Here is a 20,211-nt window from a genome sequence, read left to right on the forward strand (position 1 = left end):
TTAAACCAGCCCTAACAAGGCAGGAATCACCAATCCCAGTGACCCAAACTTCACCACCAAGGGATACAGTGCTCTGTGTCTCCAAATAAACTTAAAAGGCACTCTAGGCCATGAGGACTTGCCAACTCTTGGCAAGTCCTAGTGTTAAACTAGGTCCAGAGACAGTGGATTGGGAGGGCATGTGACTGACATACTGAGACAACAGCCGGGACAGCCAAGGTAATACTGGCATCATCCGTCCCATAACCCTAGGCTGCACAACTCATGGCTCCAAATGAGACCCCATCCTTCCACTTAAAGAGAGGAAAGTGGATACTTTGGACATCTTGGATACCAGCTTAGTCACAGCAAGATAAGTCATAGTCAGAGTCATGAGGACTCCGTTCCAGGCCCTAGCTCCAAAATGACATTTCTAGATAGACCCTGGGCCAGAAGGGAATCCACTGCTTTGAAGAAAAGGACCCAGTCCTTGCAGAGTTCATAACCTGCTAACTGAAGAGCCCTTGGGCCCTGAGTAACCAGTAGCAATACCCAGGAACTATGTTGAGGGCATTGGGTGAGATGTTGAGACATGGTGGCTTCAGGTGAGACTCAGTACTTTACCAGCTGTGTTGGCTACATGGCAAAACTCTTTCTACTGGAGAAAAGCAGAGGGAAAAGTAAAAGGAAGACCAAGTCTTGTATCTTAAGTATCAGCATTGCCACATGGGTGTAGAGCACCAAGCAGGCTCCTGGAGTCCCCAGCTCCAGGACTTGACTCTTGGATGGCACTATGGACCTGCTGTGGGCCAGAGGGGAGCCTATTGCCCTGAAGCATGAATCCTAGGCCATCCAGCATTCACCATAAGCTGATATAAGAGTCCTTGGGCCTTAAGGGAATATCAGTGGTAGTCTGACCGTACTCCTTGTGGCCTGGAGTGGTGGTGGCTACTGGGTGAGGCTCGTTTGTCTTTGGAAAGGGAAGGGAAGAGTGGGAAGGATTGCATCTTGTGGTTTGATTGCCAGCTCAGCCACAGTAAAATAGAACACCAGGTAGACTTCTAAGGTTTTTAACTCTAGTCCTAACTCCCTGATGGCACCTCTGGATCTACCTGAGGCCCAGGAGACCTCACTGACCTGAAAAGAAAAAGACATAGGCCTGGCTGGCTTTGCCAATGGCTGAGAGATACAGAGGCCTGGGACAAGACCCAGTGCTGTGCTGGCTTCAGTTCTGACCAAGTGCAGTCATAGTGGTAGGGGCCACAGGGGTGCTTGTATTACTCTACCCCCAGCTTCAGGACAGAGAGAATCTTTTTTTTTTAGAAAGTAAGGGAAGATAACAAGAGTCTCTGCCTGGTAATCCAGAGAATTCTCTCAGATCTTGTCCATGACCATCAAGGCTTAATATGCAGATACTAACAACCCCTATGACTATGCAGGAACCACTGCATTTACTGGGCTTGGGATACACCCTATAGCAGATACAGGTTAGATCACAACACCCAAGTCCTTTCAAATACCCGAAAGTCTTCCAGAGAAGAATGGCTACAATAATCCCAGACAGTGGAGACTCTAACAAATACCTAACTCTTCAATGCCCAGACACCAAAGAACATTGTTAATATCAACACTATCCAGGAAAACATGACCTCAGTAAATGAACTAAAAATAGCAAAAGGACCAATCTTGGAGAACGGTCACACGTAACAGAGATACGTGACCTTTTAGACAGAGAATTTAAAATAGCTATGTTGAGAAAATTCAAAGAAATTCAAGATAACACAGATAAGGAATTCAGAATGCTACCCAATAAATTTATCAAAGAGATTGAAATAATTAAAAAGAAGCAGGAATCCTGGAGCTGAAAAATGTAACTGGCATACTGAAGAACACATTAGAGTTCTTTAATGGCAGAATCGATCAAGCTGGAGGAAGAATTAGCTCTAAGACAGGCTATTTGAAAATACACAGTCAGAGGAGGCAAAAGAATAAAAAACAATATATTGCCTATAGGATCTAGAAAATAGCCTCCAATGGGTAAATCTAAGAGTTATTGTCCTTAAAAGAAGGTAGAGAAAAAGGTATGGGTAGAACATTTATTCAAAAGGACAATAACAGAGAAGTTCTCAAGCCTAAAGAAAGATATCAATATCCAAGTACAAGAAGGTTATACAACACCAAGCAGATTCAACCCAAAGAAGGGTTAAACTCTCAAGGCATTTAGTTATCAAACTCTCAAAAGTCAATGATAAAGAAAGGATTCTAAAAGCAGCCAGAGAAAATAAACAAAAAGAGCTCCAACAGGTCTGGCAGCCAACTCTTTCAGTGGAAACTTACAGGCTGGGAGAGAGTGGTATGACATATCTCAAGTGCTGAAGCAAAAAAATGGTTACCCTAGAATAGCATATTTAGCAGAAATATCTTTTGAATATGAAGAAGAAATAAAAACTTCCCCAGACAAACTAAAGCCGAGGGATTTCATCAACATCAGCTCTGTCTTAGAAGAAATGCTAAAGGAATTATTTTGACCACAAAGAAAAGGACATTAATTAGCAGTAAGAAATCATCTAAAGGTATACAACTCACTGGCCATAGTAAGTAAACAGAAAAACACAGAATATTATAACACTGTAACAGTGGTGTGTTAACTACTCTTATCCTAAATAGACTAAATTATAAAGCATCCAAAAATAATAACTACACTTTGGGAGGCCGAGGCGGGCGGATCACGAGGTCAGGAGATCGAGACCATCCCGGCTAAAACAGTGAGACCCCGTCTCTACTAAAAATACAAAAAATTAGCCGGGCGTAGTGGCGGGCGCCTGTAGTCCCAGCTGCTCTGGAGGCTGAGGCAGGAGAATGGCGTGAACCCGGGAGGCGGAGCTTGCAGTGAGCCGAGATCCCGCCACTGCACTCCAGCCTGGGCGACAGAGCGAGACTCCGTCTCAAAAAATAAAAATAAAAAAAATAATAATAATAATAACTACAGCAACTTTTCCAAGACATAGTCAGTACACTAAGGAATAAACAGAAAAAAAAAACCCAAAAATTTAGTAAGGAGAAAAAGCCAAGGCTTAGAGTTTTGAGTAGTTTTCTTCGTATCAGTGTTAAGTTCTTATCAGATTAAAATAATGGGTTATAAAATAGTATTTGCAAGCCTCATGGTAATCTCAAACCAAATATGTACAATAGATACACAAAAACTAAAAAACAAGAAACGAAGTCATATCACTGGAGAAAATCACCTTCACTAAAGGAAGACAGGAAGAAAAGTAGGAAGGAAGAGATCACAAAACAACCAGAAAAAGAAAATGGACTAAATTATCCAATCAAAAGACAGTGACTGGCTGAATAAATGAAAAAACAGGACCCAATGATCTATTGCCTCCAAGAAACACACTTGACCTATAAAGATACACACAGACTGAAAAGAAAGGTATGGAAAAAGATATTCCATGCCAATAAAAACCAAAAAAGTGCAGGAGTTGCTATACTCATATCAGACAAAATAGATTTCAAGACAAAAACTATAAGAAGCTACAAAGAAGGTCATATATAATGACAAAGGTATCGATTCAGCAAGAGGATATAACAATTTTAAATAGATCTGCACCCAACACTGGGACATCCAAATATATAGAGGAAACATTATTATAACTAAAAAGAGTAATATGTCCAAATACGATAACTGGAAACTTTAACACCCCACTTTCAGCATTGGACCTATCCTCGAGACAGAAAATAAAGAAGCATCTGACTTATTCTGCACTACAGACCAAATGGATATAACAGATATTTATAGAACATTTCATAAAATGGCTACAAAATACATATTCTTTTCCTCAGCATGTGGATCATTATCAGGGATAGACTATATGTTAGGTCACAAAACAAGTCTGAAAACATTTAAAAAAATGGAAATAATGTCAAGCATATTCCCATACCACAATAAAACTAGAAATTAATAATAAGAGGAATTTTGCGAACTATACAAATACCTAGAAATTAAACCATGTGCTCCTCAATGATCAGTGTGTCAATAAAGAAATTAAGAAGGAAATGGAAAAATTTCTTGAAACAAATGATAACCTAAACACAACATACCAAAACCTATGGGATACAGCAAAAATAGTACTCAGAGGGACCATTATAGATATAAGTGCCTTTATCAAAAAAGAGGAAAGCCTTCAAATAAACAGTCTAACAATGCATCTTAAAGAACTAGGAATGCATGTGGAAACCAAACCCAAAATTAGTAGAAGAAACAATAAAATATTAGAGCAGAGATAAATGAAATTGAATTTTTTTAAAAAGTACAAAATATCAATAAAACAAAAAGTTGGCTTTTAAAAAAGTTAAAGAAATTGACAAACCTTTAGCCAAACTAAGAAAAAAAGATACAAATAAATAAAATCAGAAACAAAAAAGGAGTCATTACAACTGACACTGCCAAAACGTCATTAGTAGTTACTATGAGCAACTATATGACAACAAATTGGAAAATCTAGAAGAAATGGACAAATTTCTAGACACATACCATCTCCAGAGACTGAGCCAAGAAGAGATCCAAAACCTGAACAGACCAATAAGAAGTACAAGATCAAAGGCATAATAAAAAAAAATCTACCAGTAAAGAAAAGCCTGGGACCCGATGGCTTCACTGCTGAATCCAACCAAATAAACATTTAAAGAGGAATGAATACCAATCTTACTCAAACTATTCCAGGAAATGGAAGAAGAGGAAATACTTCCAAACTCATTCTATACAATCAGTATTACCTTGATATCAAAACCAGACAAAGACACATCAAAAAAAGAAAACTACAGGCCAAAATCTGATGAATATTGATGCAAAAATCTTCCATAAAATACTAGCAAACTGAATTCAACAATGCATTAGAAAAATCATTCATCATGACCAAGTGGGTTTACCTCTGGGATGCAAGGATAGTTCAACATGCACAAACCAATCGATGTGGTACATCAAGTCAACAGAATGAAGGATAAAAACCACATGATCCTATCAATAGATGCTAAAAAATAATTCAAAAAATTCCACATCTCTTCATGATAAAAACCCCCAAAAACCTGGGTATAGAAGGAACATACCTCAACATAACAAAAGTTCTATATAAGACACCCACAGCTAGTATCATAGTGAGTGGGGAAAAACTGAAAGCCTTTCCTCTGAGATCTGGAACACAACAATGATGCCAATTTTCACCACTGTTATTCACCATAGTACTGGAAGTACTAGCTAGAGCCATCAGACCAGAGAAAGATTTGAGCATCCAAATTGAAAACGAACAAGTCAAATTATCCTTGTTTGCAGATTATATGATCTTATACTAAGAAAAACCTCAAGATTCCCCCCAAAATGATTAGAACTGATAAATTTATGGAATTTGCAGGACACAAAATCAACATACGAAATTCAGTAGCATTTCTATATGCCAACAGTGAACAATCTGAAAAAGAAATAAAATTCATCCCATTTACAATAGCACACATAAAATTAATTACCTAGGAATTAACCAATGGAGTGAAAAATGTCAGTGATGGAAACTATAAAACACTGGTGAAAGAAATTGAAAGGAACGCCAAAAAATGAAAATAAATAGTTCATGTATATGGATCGGAAGAATCAATGTTGTTAAAAAGTTCATACCACCCAAAGCTATCTACAGACTCAGTGCAATCCCTATCAAAATACCAGTGACTTTCTTCATAGGAAAAAAAAAAAAAACACAATCCTAAACTTTATATGAAACCACAAGAAAATCCAGGATAGCTAAAGTTATCCTAATCAAAAAGAATGAAACTGGAGTAATACATCACCTGACTTCAGATTATACTGTGGAGCTACAGCAACAAAAGTAGCATGGTATTCTCATAAAAACAGACACATAGACAAATAAAACATAATAAACAACCCAGAAACAAATCCACACACTACAGTGAACTCATTTTCAACAAAGGTGCCAAGAACATACAATGGAGAAAAGACAGTCTATCAATAAATGGCATTGGGATAACTGGATATCCATACACCAAAGAATGAGACTAGACCCCTATCTCTTGCCATATACAATAAACAAATCAAAATGGATTAAAGACTTAACTCTAAGACATAGATCTATGAAACTACTACAAGAAAACAACGAGTAAACTATCCAAGACATTGGTCTGGGCAAAAATTTCTTGAGCAATACCTGACAAGCACAGACAACCACGGCAAGAATGGACAAATAGGATCAAATCAAGTTAAAAAGCTTTTGCTGTTATGATCAACAAAGTGAGTCACCAAAGTGAAGAGAAAACCCACAAACTGGGAGAAAATATTTGCAAACTACCCATCTGACAAGGGATTAATAACCAGAATACATAAGGAGCTCAAACAACTCTATAGGAAAATGTCTAAAAATTCAATCAAAAAATGGGCAAAAGAATAGATATTTCTCAAAAGAAAACACACACATGGCAAACAGGCATACAAAAAATGCTCAACATGGATTATGAGAAAAGCAAATCAAATCTACAAGGAGATGTCATCTTACCTGTTAAAATGGCTTTCATATCCAAAGGACAGGCAATAATAAATGCTGGTGAGGATGCAGAGAAAAGGGAACCCTTGTATACTATTGGAGGGAATGTAAATTAGTAAAACCACTATGGAGAACAGTTTGGAGCCTCCTCAGAAAACAAAAAAAATTGAGCTACCATATGATCCAGCAATCCTACTGCTGGGTGTACACACAAAAGAAGAGAAAACGGTGTATCAAAGAGATATCTACATGCCTGTGTTTGTTGCAGCATTGTTTACAATAGTCAAGATTTGGAAACAACCTAAGTGTCCATCAACAGATGAATGGATAAAGAAAATGTGGTCCATATACATAATGGAGTACTGTTTTGCCATAAAAAAGAATGAAATCCAGTCACTTGCATCAACGTGGATGGAACTGGAGATCACTGTGTTAAGTGAACTAAGCCAGGCACAGAAAGACAAACATCACATGTTCTCACTTATTTGTGGGACCTAAAAATCACAACAATTGTACTCATGAACATAGTAAAACGATGATTACCAGACGCTGGGAATGGTAGTGGGGATGCGTCAGGTGAGGTGGGAATGGTTATTGAGTACAAAAAATAGTAAGAAAAAATGAATAAGACCTGTTTGATAGCACAATAGGGTGACTATAGTCAATAATAACTTAATTGCACATTTTAAAATGTATCTTAAAGAGTATAATTGAATTATAACTCAAAGGATAAATCCTTGAGGGCATGAATACTCCATTCTCCATGATGTAATTATTTCACATTGCATTCTTGCATCGACATCTCATGTACCCCATAAATATATATGCATACTATATGCCAAAGAAATTAAAAATTAAAAAATTAAACCATACTATTTATAATCACTTCAAAGCCAAATTAAAAATTTATCAGAACATTTACAGATAATTTATGCTGAAGTTTAAAAATGATTCCTGAAAGATACCAAAAAAAAACTAAGTAAGTGAAAAGACATAACATTTTTATAGATCAGAGGATTCAATATAGTAAAAATGACAATTCTCCTAAAATTTTTACACATGTTTAAGGCAATTAAAGCAAGAGTATTATGAAGAATATAAATACATATTCTAAAGTCAATATATAAGAATAGAAACACATATTCTAAAATCAATACATAAAGACCCAAGCCCAAGAATAACAATAATAATATTGAAATAAAGAATACAGTTGGAGGAATCACTTTACCTAATGTAAAGGTCTATTATGTGGCTACAGTAATCAGCTGTGATATTGTCAGAAAGACAGATATTCTGATTCATAGAATGCAATAGAGAAGTCAGAAATACACACCAATTTACCTAACAGACTTTTGACAAGTGTGTAAAAAGAAATAATGGAGGAAGAAAAAGCTTGGAACAATGGCATACACAACAGAAAAAAGCAAAAAGATTGACTTAAAACTCACATTTTGTACAAAAATCAACCAAAAATATATCATAGACTTTAATGTAAAATATAAAACTATAAAAATTTAGGGAAAAATGTAGAAAATATTGCTATGTAGAGTTAGGCACATAGTTCTTATATTTTACACCAAAAGCACAATTCATTTAAAAAAATAGGCATTGGATCTCAAAAATATTAAAAATTTGTCTCATGAAAGACTTGACTAATAGAATAAGAAAACAAGCTATGAGAGTAGGATAAAATATTTGCAAACTTATATATATATCCTATAGAGGACTGTTACCTAGAATATGGAAAGAACCTCAAAACCATAACAAAAAAAACTCACAAAGAATTCAATTAGCAAATGGGCAAAAGATGTCTAGACATTTTACTAAACTGAATATATGGCTGGCAAATAAACACATAAAAAGGTGTTCAATGTCATGAGCTATTAAGGAAATGCAAACTAAAAGCACAATGAGTTAGGCAAGGTGACAAATACTTGTGGTCCCAACTATATGGGTGGATGAGCTGGGAGGATCGCTTGAGCCCAGAAGTTCAAGACCAGCCTCAGCTACATAGCAAGATCCTGTCTCTTAAAGCACAATGAAATATCACTACACAGCTGTTATCATATGACAACACCAGACTGGAGAGGATGTGAAGAAATTGAATTCTTGCAGGAAAGGATATGAAGTGTTATAATCATTCTGCAAAAAAAGTTTATAAAACAAAACTTGCATCCACCATATGGCCCAGCAAACACACCCCTAGATATTTATCTCAGATAAAGAAAAAAAATTGTTCACACAAAAACTTGTACACAGGGTTCATAGTAGCATTGGTCATAATAGCCAAAACCTAGAAACAACTCAGATGTTCCTCAATGGATGAATAATTAAATAAACTGTGATACATTCATACTATAGGTTACCAATTAGAAATAAGAATGAAACTATTGATATATACGACAACTTGGATGAATCTCCAGGAAATTATGCTGAGTGAAAAAGAAAATCCGGAAAGGTAAGTAAATACCATATGATTCTGAATATAACATTCTTAAACCATCAAAACTGTAGAAATGAAGAACAAATAAGTGATTGTCGGGGGTTAACGTGAGGGTGGAGGAAAAGGAGTGAGGTTTCAAAAAGACAAGGGATGCCCACAGTGATGGAACTGTTCTGTGTCTTAACTGGATCAATGTCAGCATCCTAGTTGTAATATGGTATTACAGTTTTATAAGATGTTACCATTGAGAAAAACTAGGTGAATGTTGCAGATTCTCTCTGTATTATTTGTTACAACTGTATGTACACTGATAACTGTCTCAAAATAAAAGTTTATAATCAGTGTTTAGGTAGTAATTTCCCCCATAAACTCAGGATTTGGGGACTTCAATCTGAACACGAACCTCGGTCTGTAAGCCTATTCAAAACTTCTTCCAGGGGAAAGTTTTGACTTTGTCAAAGAGTGAGCTCCAGCCTACCTCTGAATACCAGTGCAAGGCTTAGAGGAATCAGTTACCTAACCTGGTCAGAGTAATTGGGAGTGCGATTCTATTGCAGCAATGAAATGATACATCCCATAGAGTAAAGTGACCATAGGTTTCATACTGTCACTGAGAAGAACAAAGAGAGAAATAAAATGGACCCAAACTTTAGGATTCTCTTTCATTTAATACCACAAAAGGCCTGTGTTTCAGCCACAGGCAGGTACTACAGTCTTCCATTGTTTGGAATTCAGCTACTATAAACCCCCTACCAAGCCAACTGATACTCAAGGGAAAGAGGCTAAGGACCACATAGCCATTGATGTGTCTAGAATCTCAGAGATCTAGCATGATATCATATGCTGAAATCCTAACCCTCAATGTGATTGAGTTTGAAGATGGCATATTGAGAGACAATTAGGTTTAGATGAGGTCATGAGGATGGGGTCCTCTTGATGAGATTAGTGCCCTTATGAGAAGAAGAGACACCAGGTCGGTCAGTCTGTCTGTCTCTCTCTCTCTCTCTCTCTCACACACACACACACAGACACACACACACACACACACATATATATGAAGACACAGCAACAAGGCAGCTGTCTGCAAGCTAGTAAGGAGTCTTTATCAGAGCCTGACCATGTTGGCACCCTGATCTCGAACTTCTAGCCTCTAGAATTGTAAGAGAATAAATTTCTGGCCGGGCCCGGTGGCTCATGCCTGTAATCCCAGCATTATGGGAGGCCGAGGCGGGTGGATCATGAGGTCAGGAGATCGAGACCATCCTGGCTAACACGCTGAAACCCTGTCTGCACTAAAAATACAAAAAATTAGCCAGGCGTGGTGGTGGTCGCCTGTAGTCCCAGCTAGCAGGAGGCTGAGGCAGGAGAATGGCATGAACCCAGGAGGCAGAGGGTGCAGTGAGCCGAGATCGTGCCACTGCACTCCAGCCTGAGCGACATAGCAAGACTCTGTTTCAAAAATAAACAAACAGCAACAACAAAAAAAAACCGCAGAAAATAAGTTTCTGTTGTTTAAGCCACTCAGTTCATGGTATTTTGTTATGGGACCCTAAGCTGATCGAGACACATGTGAGTAATTCTTTTGTATTCTGAAACATGTTACCCGTGGTTTATTAATAATTTTGTTGCAAATTTTATTTTTGTTTGAAACAATTTTAAACCTAAAGAAAAGTCATGTGCATAATTTTTAAAAATTGTTGTATATTCTTTGGGACCTCATTCAAACTTTGCTAAATCTGATTGGCTTTAAAACATGTCTACAAGTTCTTTAGCGCTCCTTTTATAAAATGGTAGAGGCTGTTTCAGAAAATTTGGTACAGCTTCCTCCTCTCTCCCTCTTTGAAGGCTTACTCTTCTAATACAGGCACCATGAATTAAGGAAACGGAGGTACATGGATGGGCCACATGTAGGTGTTCTGACAGGTAGTCCTATCTAAGGTCTCTGATGACAACTATGATCAGCTTCCAGGCATGGGGGTGAGCCAGTCTTCAAATGATACCAGCCCTCAAATTCTGAGCTGTCTCAGCTGTCGCCCAGTGGAGCAGGTATCAGCTACCTCCACTGAAGGCCGTTGAAATTGCAGGTTGCGAGCAAAATAAATGCCATCAACTGATTTACAGCCACTCTGTTTTGGAGTAGTTTGCTACAGAGAAATAGATAACTAGAAAACCATCTGTTCCAGTAACGCACTCTGTAGACAATGAATCCAATCTAGAATCACGTGGTATACACAGCTGGCAAATGTCCAGTTTCCTTCAACAGTTTCTCAATTTTTCCTTGATTCCTGACCTTAATATCTTCCAAAATGTTTCTCAATTTCAGATTGTGCTAAATCTCTTCAAGTTAATGCTCAAGTTATGCGTTTTTGTCTGATATAATATAGAAGTTTTTTTTCTTCCTTTAACGTCTTATCAGATGTTGCCTGATGTCTCTTTGGCCCATGACTGGTGGTAGTTACTTTCACTAGTTGACTAAGACTGTGACAGCCAGAGGTTCCCACTGGAGTTACTTTTCCCTCTATTAAAATTAATGTTTTAAAAATGTGCTTGGAATATATGAAAAAAATCATGTCTCATATCATTTTCTCCCGTTAGTCTCATCATCCATTGATAATTTTGCCTGAGATAAATACTACTCAGATCATTGTGAAATGGTGCTTTTCTAATCCTATGATTTCTTGTACATTTTTAGTTGGCATTCTATAGTAAAAATGATATTTATTCATTTATAATATGGATTCAAAGATTTTTATTTTATTCAATCAAACGTATTGTCATTATATATGTAAAATATATATTATATATTTATATATACAAAGGCATATATCTAAATATACAGTCATGTGTTGCTTAACAGAGTGATATTCTGAGAAATGCATCATTTGGTGATTTCGCCATTGTGCAAACATCACAGAGTGTATTTACCAAAAACCTGACAAACCTAGGCTAAGTGGTATAGCCTACTGCTCCTAAGCTACAAACCTGTACAGCATGTTACTCTACTGAATACTATAGTCAGCTGTAACACAATGTTAAGTATTCGTATATCTAAACACAGAAAAGGTACAGTAAAAATAATGATATAAAAGATTAAATAATGGTACACCCCTATAGGGCACTTCTAGTCCTGAAGCTTGCAGGACGAGAAGTTGCTCTGGATGAGTCGGTGAGTGGTGAGTGAATGTGAAGGCCTGGAACTTTACTGTCCACTACTGTACACTTTATAAACACTGTGCATAGAGGCGACGCTGAATTTATTTAAAAATATTTTTCTTGGCCACTCACAGTGTCTGATGCCTGTAATCCTGGCACTTTGGGAGGCCGATCACTAGGTCAGGAGATGGAGACCATCCTGGCTAACACAGTGAAATCCTGTCTCTACTAAAAATATAAAAAAGTTAGCCGGGCGTGGTGGTGGTCGCCTTGTAGTCCCAGCTACTCAGGAGGCTGAGGCGGGAGAATGGCATGAACCCAGGAGGTGGAGGTTGCAGTGAGCAGAGATCATGCCACTTCACTCCAGCCTGGGTGACGGAGTGAGACTCCATCTCAGAAAAAAACAAAAACAAAAACAAAAACAAAAAAGTTCTTTCTTTCTTCAACAATAACCTTAACTTACTGTAACATTTTAATATTATGTAATTTTTAAAAACTTTTTGACTCTTTTGCAAACACTTGGTTTAAAGCACAACCATGTATAGCTGTACAAAACTAAACTATTTCTTTCTTTCTGAATAATATTATTCAAAACTATTTTCTTTCTTTATACTCTTATTCTATAAGCTTTTCCCTATTTAAAGTTTTTCTAAAAAACATTTTTGCTAAACACCAAGAAAATACCCGTAGCCCAGGTCTACAAAGAATCAAGTTCATCAATATCACTGTCTTCCAGCTCCACATCTTGTCCCACTTGAAGGTCTTCAGAGACAATAACACAGATGAAGCTGTCATCCCCTATGATAAAAATGCGTTCTTCTGAAATACCTCCTGAAGGACCTGCCTGAGGATGTTCTCCAGTTAACTTTTTTTATAAGTAGAAAGAGTATAATCTAAAATAATGATAAAAAACTACAGTATACTATAGTAAATACATAAATCAGTAACAGTATTTACTGTGATCAAGTATTATGTACTGTGCATAACTGTATGTGCTATAGTTTTCTATGACTGGCTGCAAAGTAGGTTTGTTTACATTGGCATCATGACAAACATATAAGTAGTATGTTGTGCTCTGACCTTAGGATGCTTATGACATCACTAGGTGATAAGAAATTTTATCTCCATCATAACCTCCTGGGACCACCAATGTATATGTGGTCCTTCATTGGCTGAACATTATATAGCACATAATTTTATATATATATAAAATGTATATACATATTATATTTAATATACAATATTATATGTTATATACATATATATGCCTCTGTGTGTGTGTGTGTGTGTGTGTGTGTGAGTGTGTGTGTGTGTGTGTGTGTGTGTGTATGCTCAGCCCATAGAAGCATCTCCCAACTGGCTCATATGTCTTTTTGACATGTCCCCATCATTGAGCATTTTTCTTACTCTCTAACACAGGAGACTTAAGTGTTTGGTATTTGATAATACTATTTTTACCAAGTGATAATTTTAAATAACATTACTGTTATTTATTTGTTAGTTGTAAAATAAGTACTTGTGCAGAAAAATAAAAAAAAAACATGGTCAGTAGATTAAAAAAGAAGAATGTTGAAAGTACAGGAAATGTGAATTGTATATTCACTATAAGAAATATAAAATAGTACTTCTTACTAGGTATCTGGAAATAGTTGATGCTTCTAGAGAAAATGTAAAAAGAGGGATAGAAGAAGGTGGGTAAGTAATACTAGTTATATCCCCATAATACAGTAGCTCAAATTATATAAAGTTTATTTTCTCTCACAGAACACTGAAGACATAGACATATGAATAGTCTGATTTCCTATAGATCATGATGTTAAAAACACACATTACTGGCCAGGCACGGTAGCTCATGCCTGTAATCCCAGAACTTTGGGAGGCCAAGGTAGGCAGATCACTTGAGGCCGGGAGTTTGAGACCAGCCTGGCCAACATGGTGAAACCCCCGTCTCTACTAAAACTACAAAAATTATCCAGGGTGCTGGTAATTGTGCCAAAATTGTTCCAGCTTTGGTCCTAAGTTATTTTCACATGTCTTTTTTTTTTTCCTCATCAAAACCCTATGTGGTAAGTGCTTCTTATAATGGTCCTTTAATAGAAGAAAAAACAAGCCTAGAGAGATTCATACTTTGTACAGTACAGTAGGCAGAATAACCTCTTTTGTCCTGCCAAAGATTTTCATACTTTAGATTCTAGAGACTGTGAATATATTATTCTACACAGCAAAAGAGATTTTGCAGATGTAATTTAGGCTCCTAATAAATTGACCTTAAAATAGGAAGTTTATCCTGGATTAGCCAGGTATCCGGGTAATGCGATCTCCACAGAGCAACCTGGCAATGTATTCCCAACAGCTATAAAAGCTGACTAGATGGTGCCCACCTAGATTGAGGGTTAGTCTGCCTCTCCCAGTCCACCGACTCAAATGTCAATCCCTTTAGCAACCACCCTCACAGACACAGCCAGGAACAATACCTTGCATCCTTCAATCCAATCAAGTTGACAATATTCACTATCACAGTGGAGAAATTCAAGCCATGAGAGGAATTTGACTTACTGTTACTGGAGGCTAGATATTTGGAAACCATGAGAAGTCCGCATGAGCAGCCAGCAGTGCAAATACCAGGCCCTGAATGATGGCCAGCAAGGAGACAAAGTAACTACGACCAAGTCTTGCATACCATATTCTATATATATATAGTTTTCTATGTTTGCTTGTTTTGAGATGGAGTCTCAATCTGTTGCCCAGGCTGCAGTGCAGTGTCAGGATCTTGGCTCACTGCAACCTCTGCCTCCTGGGTTCAAATGATCCTCCTGCCTCAGCCTCTCGAGTAGCTGGGACTACAGGTGCCCACCAGCACACTGGCTAATTTTTGTAGTTTTAGCAGAGATGGGGGTTTCACCATGTTGGCCAGGCTGGTCTCAAACTTCTGACCTCAAATGATCTGCCCTCCTTGGCCTCCCAAAGTGCTGGGATTACAGGCATGAGCCACTGCGCCTGGCCAGTAATGTATTTTTTTAATATCATGATATATAGGAAATCAGACTATTCATTGATACATGGCAGGATAAATTATGAGATTTTGTGGGTCTAAGACCTAAAGCTATAAGAGACACTTTAAACATCAAATGGACAATTTTAAAACCTCTACAGAGAGAAGTGAGTTGATATAACCACTTTTTTGGTGGCTGCAGGTGGAGGCAGGGGAATGAACTGTCCTCTTTTATGACTGTTCTCCCATTTCACCTGTTATTTAATTATATTTTCAAGAAGTTTTGCTTTCACAAAACTATATGAAATATTTAAAGCTTAAAAAAATAAATCATGAAGAGGACCGTTGGTAAGGTGCTTAGAGGAAACAGCTTATTTTGTGAAGATGGCATTCTTTATTATTTATACACTTCAAAACCTGAAATCAGGATTCACCTGGAGACTTAAGGGGAAGGTGGGGTGGTACTAATATTTAGTGTCTTGGGAATTTTTATTTTCAGTAAGTTCAAAAAGCAACTAGAAAACTGAGTTGAGTGACTGATCCAGGTCTACAAACTTTAAAGTTTCAGCAGAGAAAATGAAGTGATTGCACGTTCCTTTTCTCAGCACCTAATCTAATCACATTTCTTCATGGGTTGTTTGAACAAAGCGGCTCCATCCTGCTGCCGGAGTGTTACCGCATTCTTGGCATTTGGACAGTGAAGAGGAACAATGGCCTATCTAATAGAAAGGTTGAGTCCAAAGCTGACCCCATCGCAGTGTGCCAATTTAATAGACAAGAACAAGGATGTAGAAGATGAACTAATAAAAACAAACCAGAAGATATTGATTGGAACCCAGAAGCATGGTGTTTAATTTAAAAGACAGCTCTTCAGAAAGTCCTTTCTTCTGTTGTCAAACAGACATGGGAACTTGCCTAGACTTCCAAGCATTCAATTAGAACGGAGGCAAAGGACTGATAGTCTTGGCTTTCAAACAAACGCTAGGGCACTGGGTAGATGCAGAGTTGGATTTCACGATTCTTTCAGGTTTTTAGTTTTAATTGCTACTGTCTAAAAAAAAGCAGATATGCTTTCTTTTGATATATTTAACTGCTGTCCTCTTTTACATCATAGAAAAAAAACAGGTCTAGATCTAAGTCTAACTAATAGCTTTTAATTTACCATGAAACAATTCTACGGGGCTGATGTCTTTCACTTTTTAAAGCAGAGTGGCTTATTCGTGAAATTTGTTTTCTAAAGTTAATATACTATGTGGAATACGAATGAAACTGCAGATTGCAGTTGATTGATTCTGCCTGAAAGCATTAAATTTAAGAGACTTCCGTGTGTAAAGGTTTATTCCTTTTTTTGTTGTGTTGACTAGGTCTCAAAAGATAATTGAATTAAGTCATACCTTTGGCCAATAGTAGGGAATACAAAATAAAAATATAGTTTTCAATTGTGCATAGGTGAGCTAAAGTATAAAACTCCTATATATTCAGTGATACAGAGAGGACATGTTAAGGTCAAATAAGTATCATTATACTAAGATTTAAGCAAACTTCTCCTGGGCAAGACAAGTAATGTCAAGAGTGGAAAATTACAAACCTTAAGCATGTGATTGCTCTTTATGGTGATGGGGTATTGATAGATGGTGGTGTTCAGGTATGTGTTTACCATTTTACTTCTGTGTCCTCACACCCATGAGTATCTGAATGTATCAGGTAAATTCCTGCTGCTTTGTAGGTAGAGTGAACGTAAATATCATGAGCTACGCTAGGTCTGTGAATCATTATAGTCATAACTGACTTTGCCTCAGATATACAGACACATCCCTTGTCTAAATGAATCCATCCACTGAAGTCATCCTGAAAGACAAGTTCCTTTATAAAATGGCATTGCTCAAAAAATATAAAGCTGCAAGGCATCCATTTTAATTCCTATAAATATTGCTTAAATAGAAAACATTTGTGCCACAAATTTGAAATTCTAGAATAAACTTCACACATATCTGTCATCACATGTAACTTTGAAGTCCTGTCAGCACAGGTATCTAATTTATATGAAGCACCCTGGAGTCAATGTCTCTTTGTACTGTTATTTGTCAAATGATTCAAGCACTGCTTTAAAGTATATGTGAGGTTACTAGTCAATCTTAACGCTCTAAATCTGCATGCTATGCTACGCACATTTTTTTCCTCTAAGCACATGAAATTCTAAATTATATTTGCCTTTGATATTTTTATTTTTCTTTCTTTAAGGAATATCACGGGAAAGCATGAAGCTGTTATAAAGTTAATATCTGCTATTCTGGTAAGGAGTAAAGTCCTGGCAAGAATTAGTTTGTCTATGTGCCTATGTGTATGTTTGTGACTCTAGGGTGTGTAAGTGGTAAATGGGCTCTTCTAAGAGACACAGAAATGTGATTGGATAGTGAGGACAGTTCTAATCAAATGAAATATTCTCTAATTTACCATTTATTGATTACCAATATTCACCCTATTGTACATCTGCATCAGGTTAAAGGTCAACATTGTTTGCTATGGGCAATCTCATAGTTTGTGGGTGTTTCTTTCATTCTAAGTATTATGTTCCAACCTTTTACAATAATCTGCTTGTAATTTTATTATTTTATTAAGATCATCTGAAAGTATATGACATAGACTTCTAATTAAGTAGGGGTGTCTGAGATAATTGGAAAATATAGATCAATCGAGAACATTATAAAGAATAAATGCAATACTATGTGCATATATTTGAGACAGAGAAAGAAATGAAAAGAGAGAGCCAGTGTGAAACACATATATGTATATCTATACATACAGTCACATAAGTCACATGTACACATCACACACACATAGACACATTTTACACACACATGGGATGGGGAAGGAGAAGCAATAGGAGGAAGAAGGGAGAGAGAGAGAAAGATAAAGGGAGAGAGAATAGATAACTGCCTTAAGGCACTGAATTAAAAAGCAGAAAAACTTAGATTTTTCAGGAAGCACTTTCTTGCCAATTTGGGCTAAGGAAGCACTTAGTCCAAGCAACATTTCAAGGATGGCATCGGGGCTACTAAGCAAAAGCAGAAAATGAATGTGACCATCTGCCTTTACTTCGCTGGAACAATTATGAGACAGGCAAAGGTAATACAAATATCAGAAGAAGTGAAAATTCCATGAGATCGTAAAAGCTGCCAAGAACTCTAGAATCTCCCTTTACTTATGATTGTAAAGTACCCAATGAGAATATCGGAATATGGATTAAATAAATTTTTGATAAGTGTGTAATGTCCTAGAATTTATCTCAGGATTATGTTGGTCTCAAGAGTGATGACCAGTAAGCATTACCAGGGTTCAAAGATTATTAATGTTGCCCAGTTCCCCTGAAGGCATTTCTACCCTAAGGAACCTCACTTACTCACCAACAAGCAATTCAAATGTTAGTGCTCAGGGCCCTACAACTAATGTCCTTTCTGATTTGTCTGTGTTCTATGACAAACAGAACTCTCTTTCTCTCTCTTTGTCCCTGCTCTCCTAACTCAGGACTCAAGAAGGTCAATCTGTACCCTCCGTACGTGCCTCCTTTCCTAGCCTTCCCAAGAAGTCTTAAGAAAAATGGACATCAACCAGGTGAGTATTCATGGGGACCATCCTAAACACTCACCCAATGGTGGAGGCTCCACCCTCTCAGCAGAACTTGCTCCCAAGGGACAGGAGGGACAGGCGTAGGGGTAAGGGTGGTAGGATTTGATTCAGGCCAGGGGATACCCAGTGAGGGTTCCCATTCAATAATCCCTGTTGAATTTCATCACCATTTAATAACACATCTTTTTATTTTATTTTACTTTCGAGAGAGGGTCTGGCTCTGTCACTTGTGCTAGACTGCACTGGCATGATCTTGGCTCATTGCAGCCTTGACCTCCTGGGCTCAAGCCATCCTCCCACATCAGCCTCCTGAGTAGCTGGGACTATGGACACACACCTTCATGCCTGGTTAATTTTCAAAAATTTTGGTAGACACAAGGTCTCACTATATTGCCCAGGCTGGACTTGAACCAAGCGATTCTCTCACCTCTGTCTCCCAAAGTGCTGGGATTATAGGCATGAGCCACTATGTCCAGCCAATACACTTTTTTTAACTTTTAAGTTCAGGAGTACATGTGAAGGTTTGTTACAGAGGTAAACTTGTGTCGTGGGGGTTTATTGTACAGATTATTTTGTCACCCAGGTATTAAACCTAATACTTATTCGTTATTTTTCCTAATACTCTCCCTCCTCCCAACTTCCGCCCGCTTACAGGCTCCAGTGTGTGTTGTTCCCCTCTATGTGTCCATGTGTTCTCATCATTTATAGCTCCCACTTATAAATGAGAACATGTGGTGTTTGGCTTTCTATTCCTGCATTAGTTTAATACACCTTTCTTGAAATCAACACAGGCCCTCCTGTCTCTGACATTTGCAGTATCAATATTATCATCATTAATAAATATAAAGAGCCAACACAACCTCTTCATTATGTACTGAGCACATTCTCATCACACAACTACACACACATGCATTTAATTTGACCACTAAAGTTATTATCATTTCAATCATTCAGATGAGGGAAAATCAGAGGCATCTAGAGTTGAATATATGGAGAGGCAGAGGCAGGATTCAACCCAAACAACCCAAGAACAGAGTTGATGTTCTTCAATTGCCATGCTAACTGCCCTCACCTGACCCACAGGACTGTTTGACCCAAATTAATATGGATAGATACGCATGAGCTGTTTCCAAACTCAAGTTTGGGAAACATGAAGTCAAATATACTTTATTATTTTCTTCTTGTTTTTTAAAATGTAGACCTCCTTGGGTACTTTCAAGGGATTGTTAAATGTGTTATCAAAATAAAATTTGTCATGGTTGTGAATCAAGTAATTCAGAAGAGATTGTGCTTAAAATTGTCATCAAATTATTCCCCAATCCTGGTCCCACTTTTACCTTTTTTAAAATTTTAATTTCAGCTGGTGGTTGACTTTAGTGACCCCAATATTATAATAATGACTTTTAAATAATATGTGTATAGCATTAGTTTTTTATTTACATACTTTTGAGGATAATTATGAAAGCCATATA

At 37.3% G+C, this 20,211-nt stretch overlaps 1 protein-coding gene across 4 annotated transcripts in view; it reads right to left on the reverse strand.

Annotated features, from left to right (window-relative positions):
* The window catches only part of SGCZ (sarcoglycan zeta), a 1,153,587-nt gene that overhangs the window by 59,101 nt on the left and 1,074,275 nt on the right, over nt 1-20,211 (reverse strand). The gene's annotated exons all lie outside the window — the stretch shown is intronic.

Source organism: Homo sapiens, chromosome 8 (assembly GCF_000001405.40).
Source record: "Homo sapiens chromosome 8, GRCh38.p14 Primary Assembly".
NCBI lineage: Eukaryota > Metazoa > Chordata > Mammalia > Primates > Hominidae > Homo > Homo sapiens.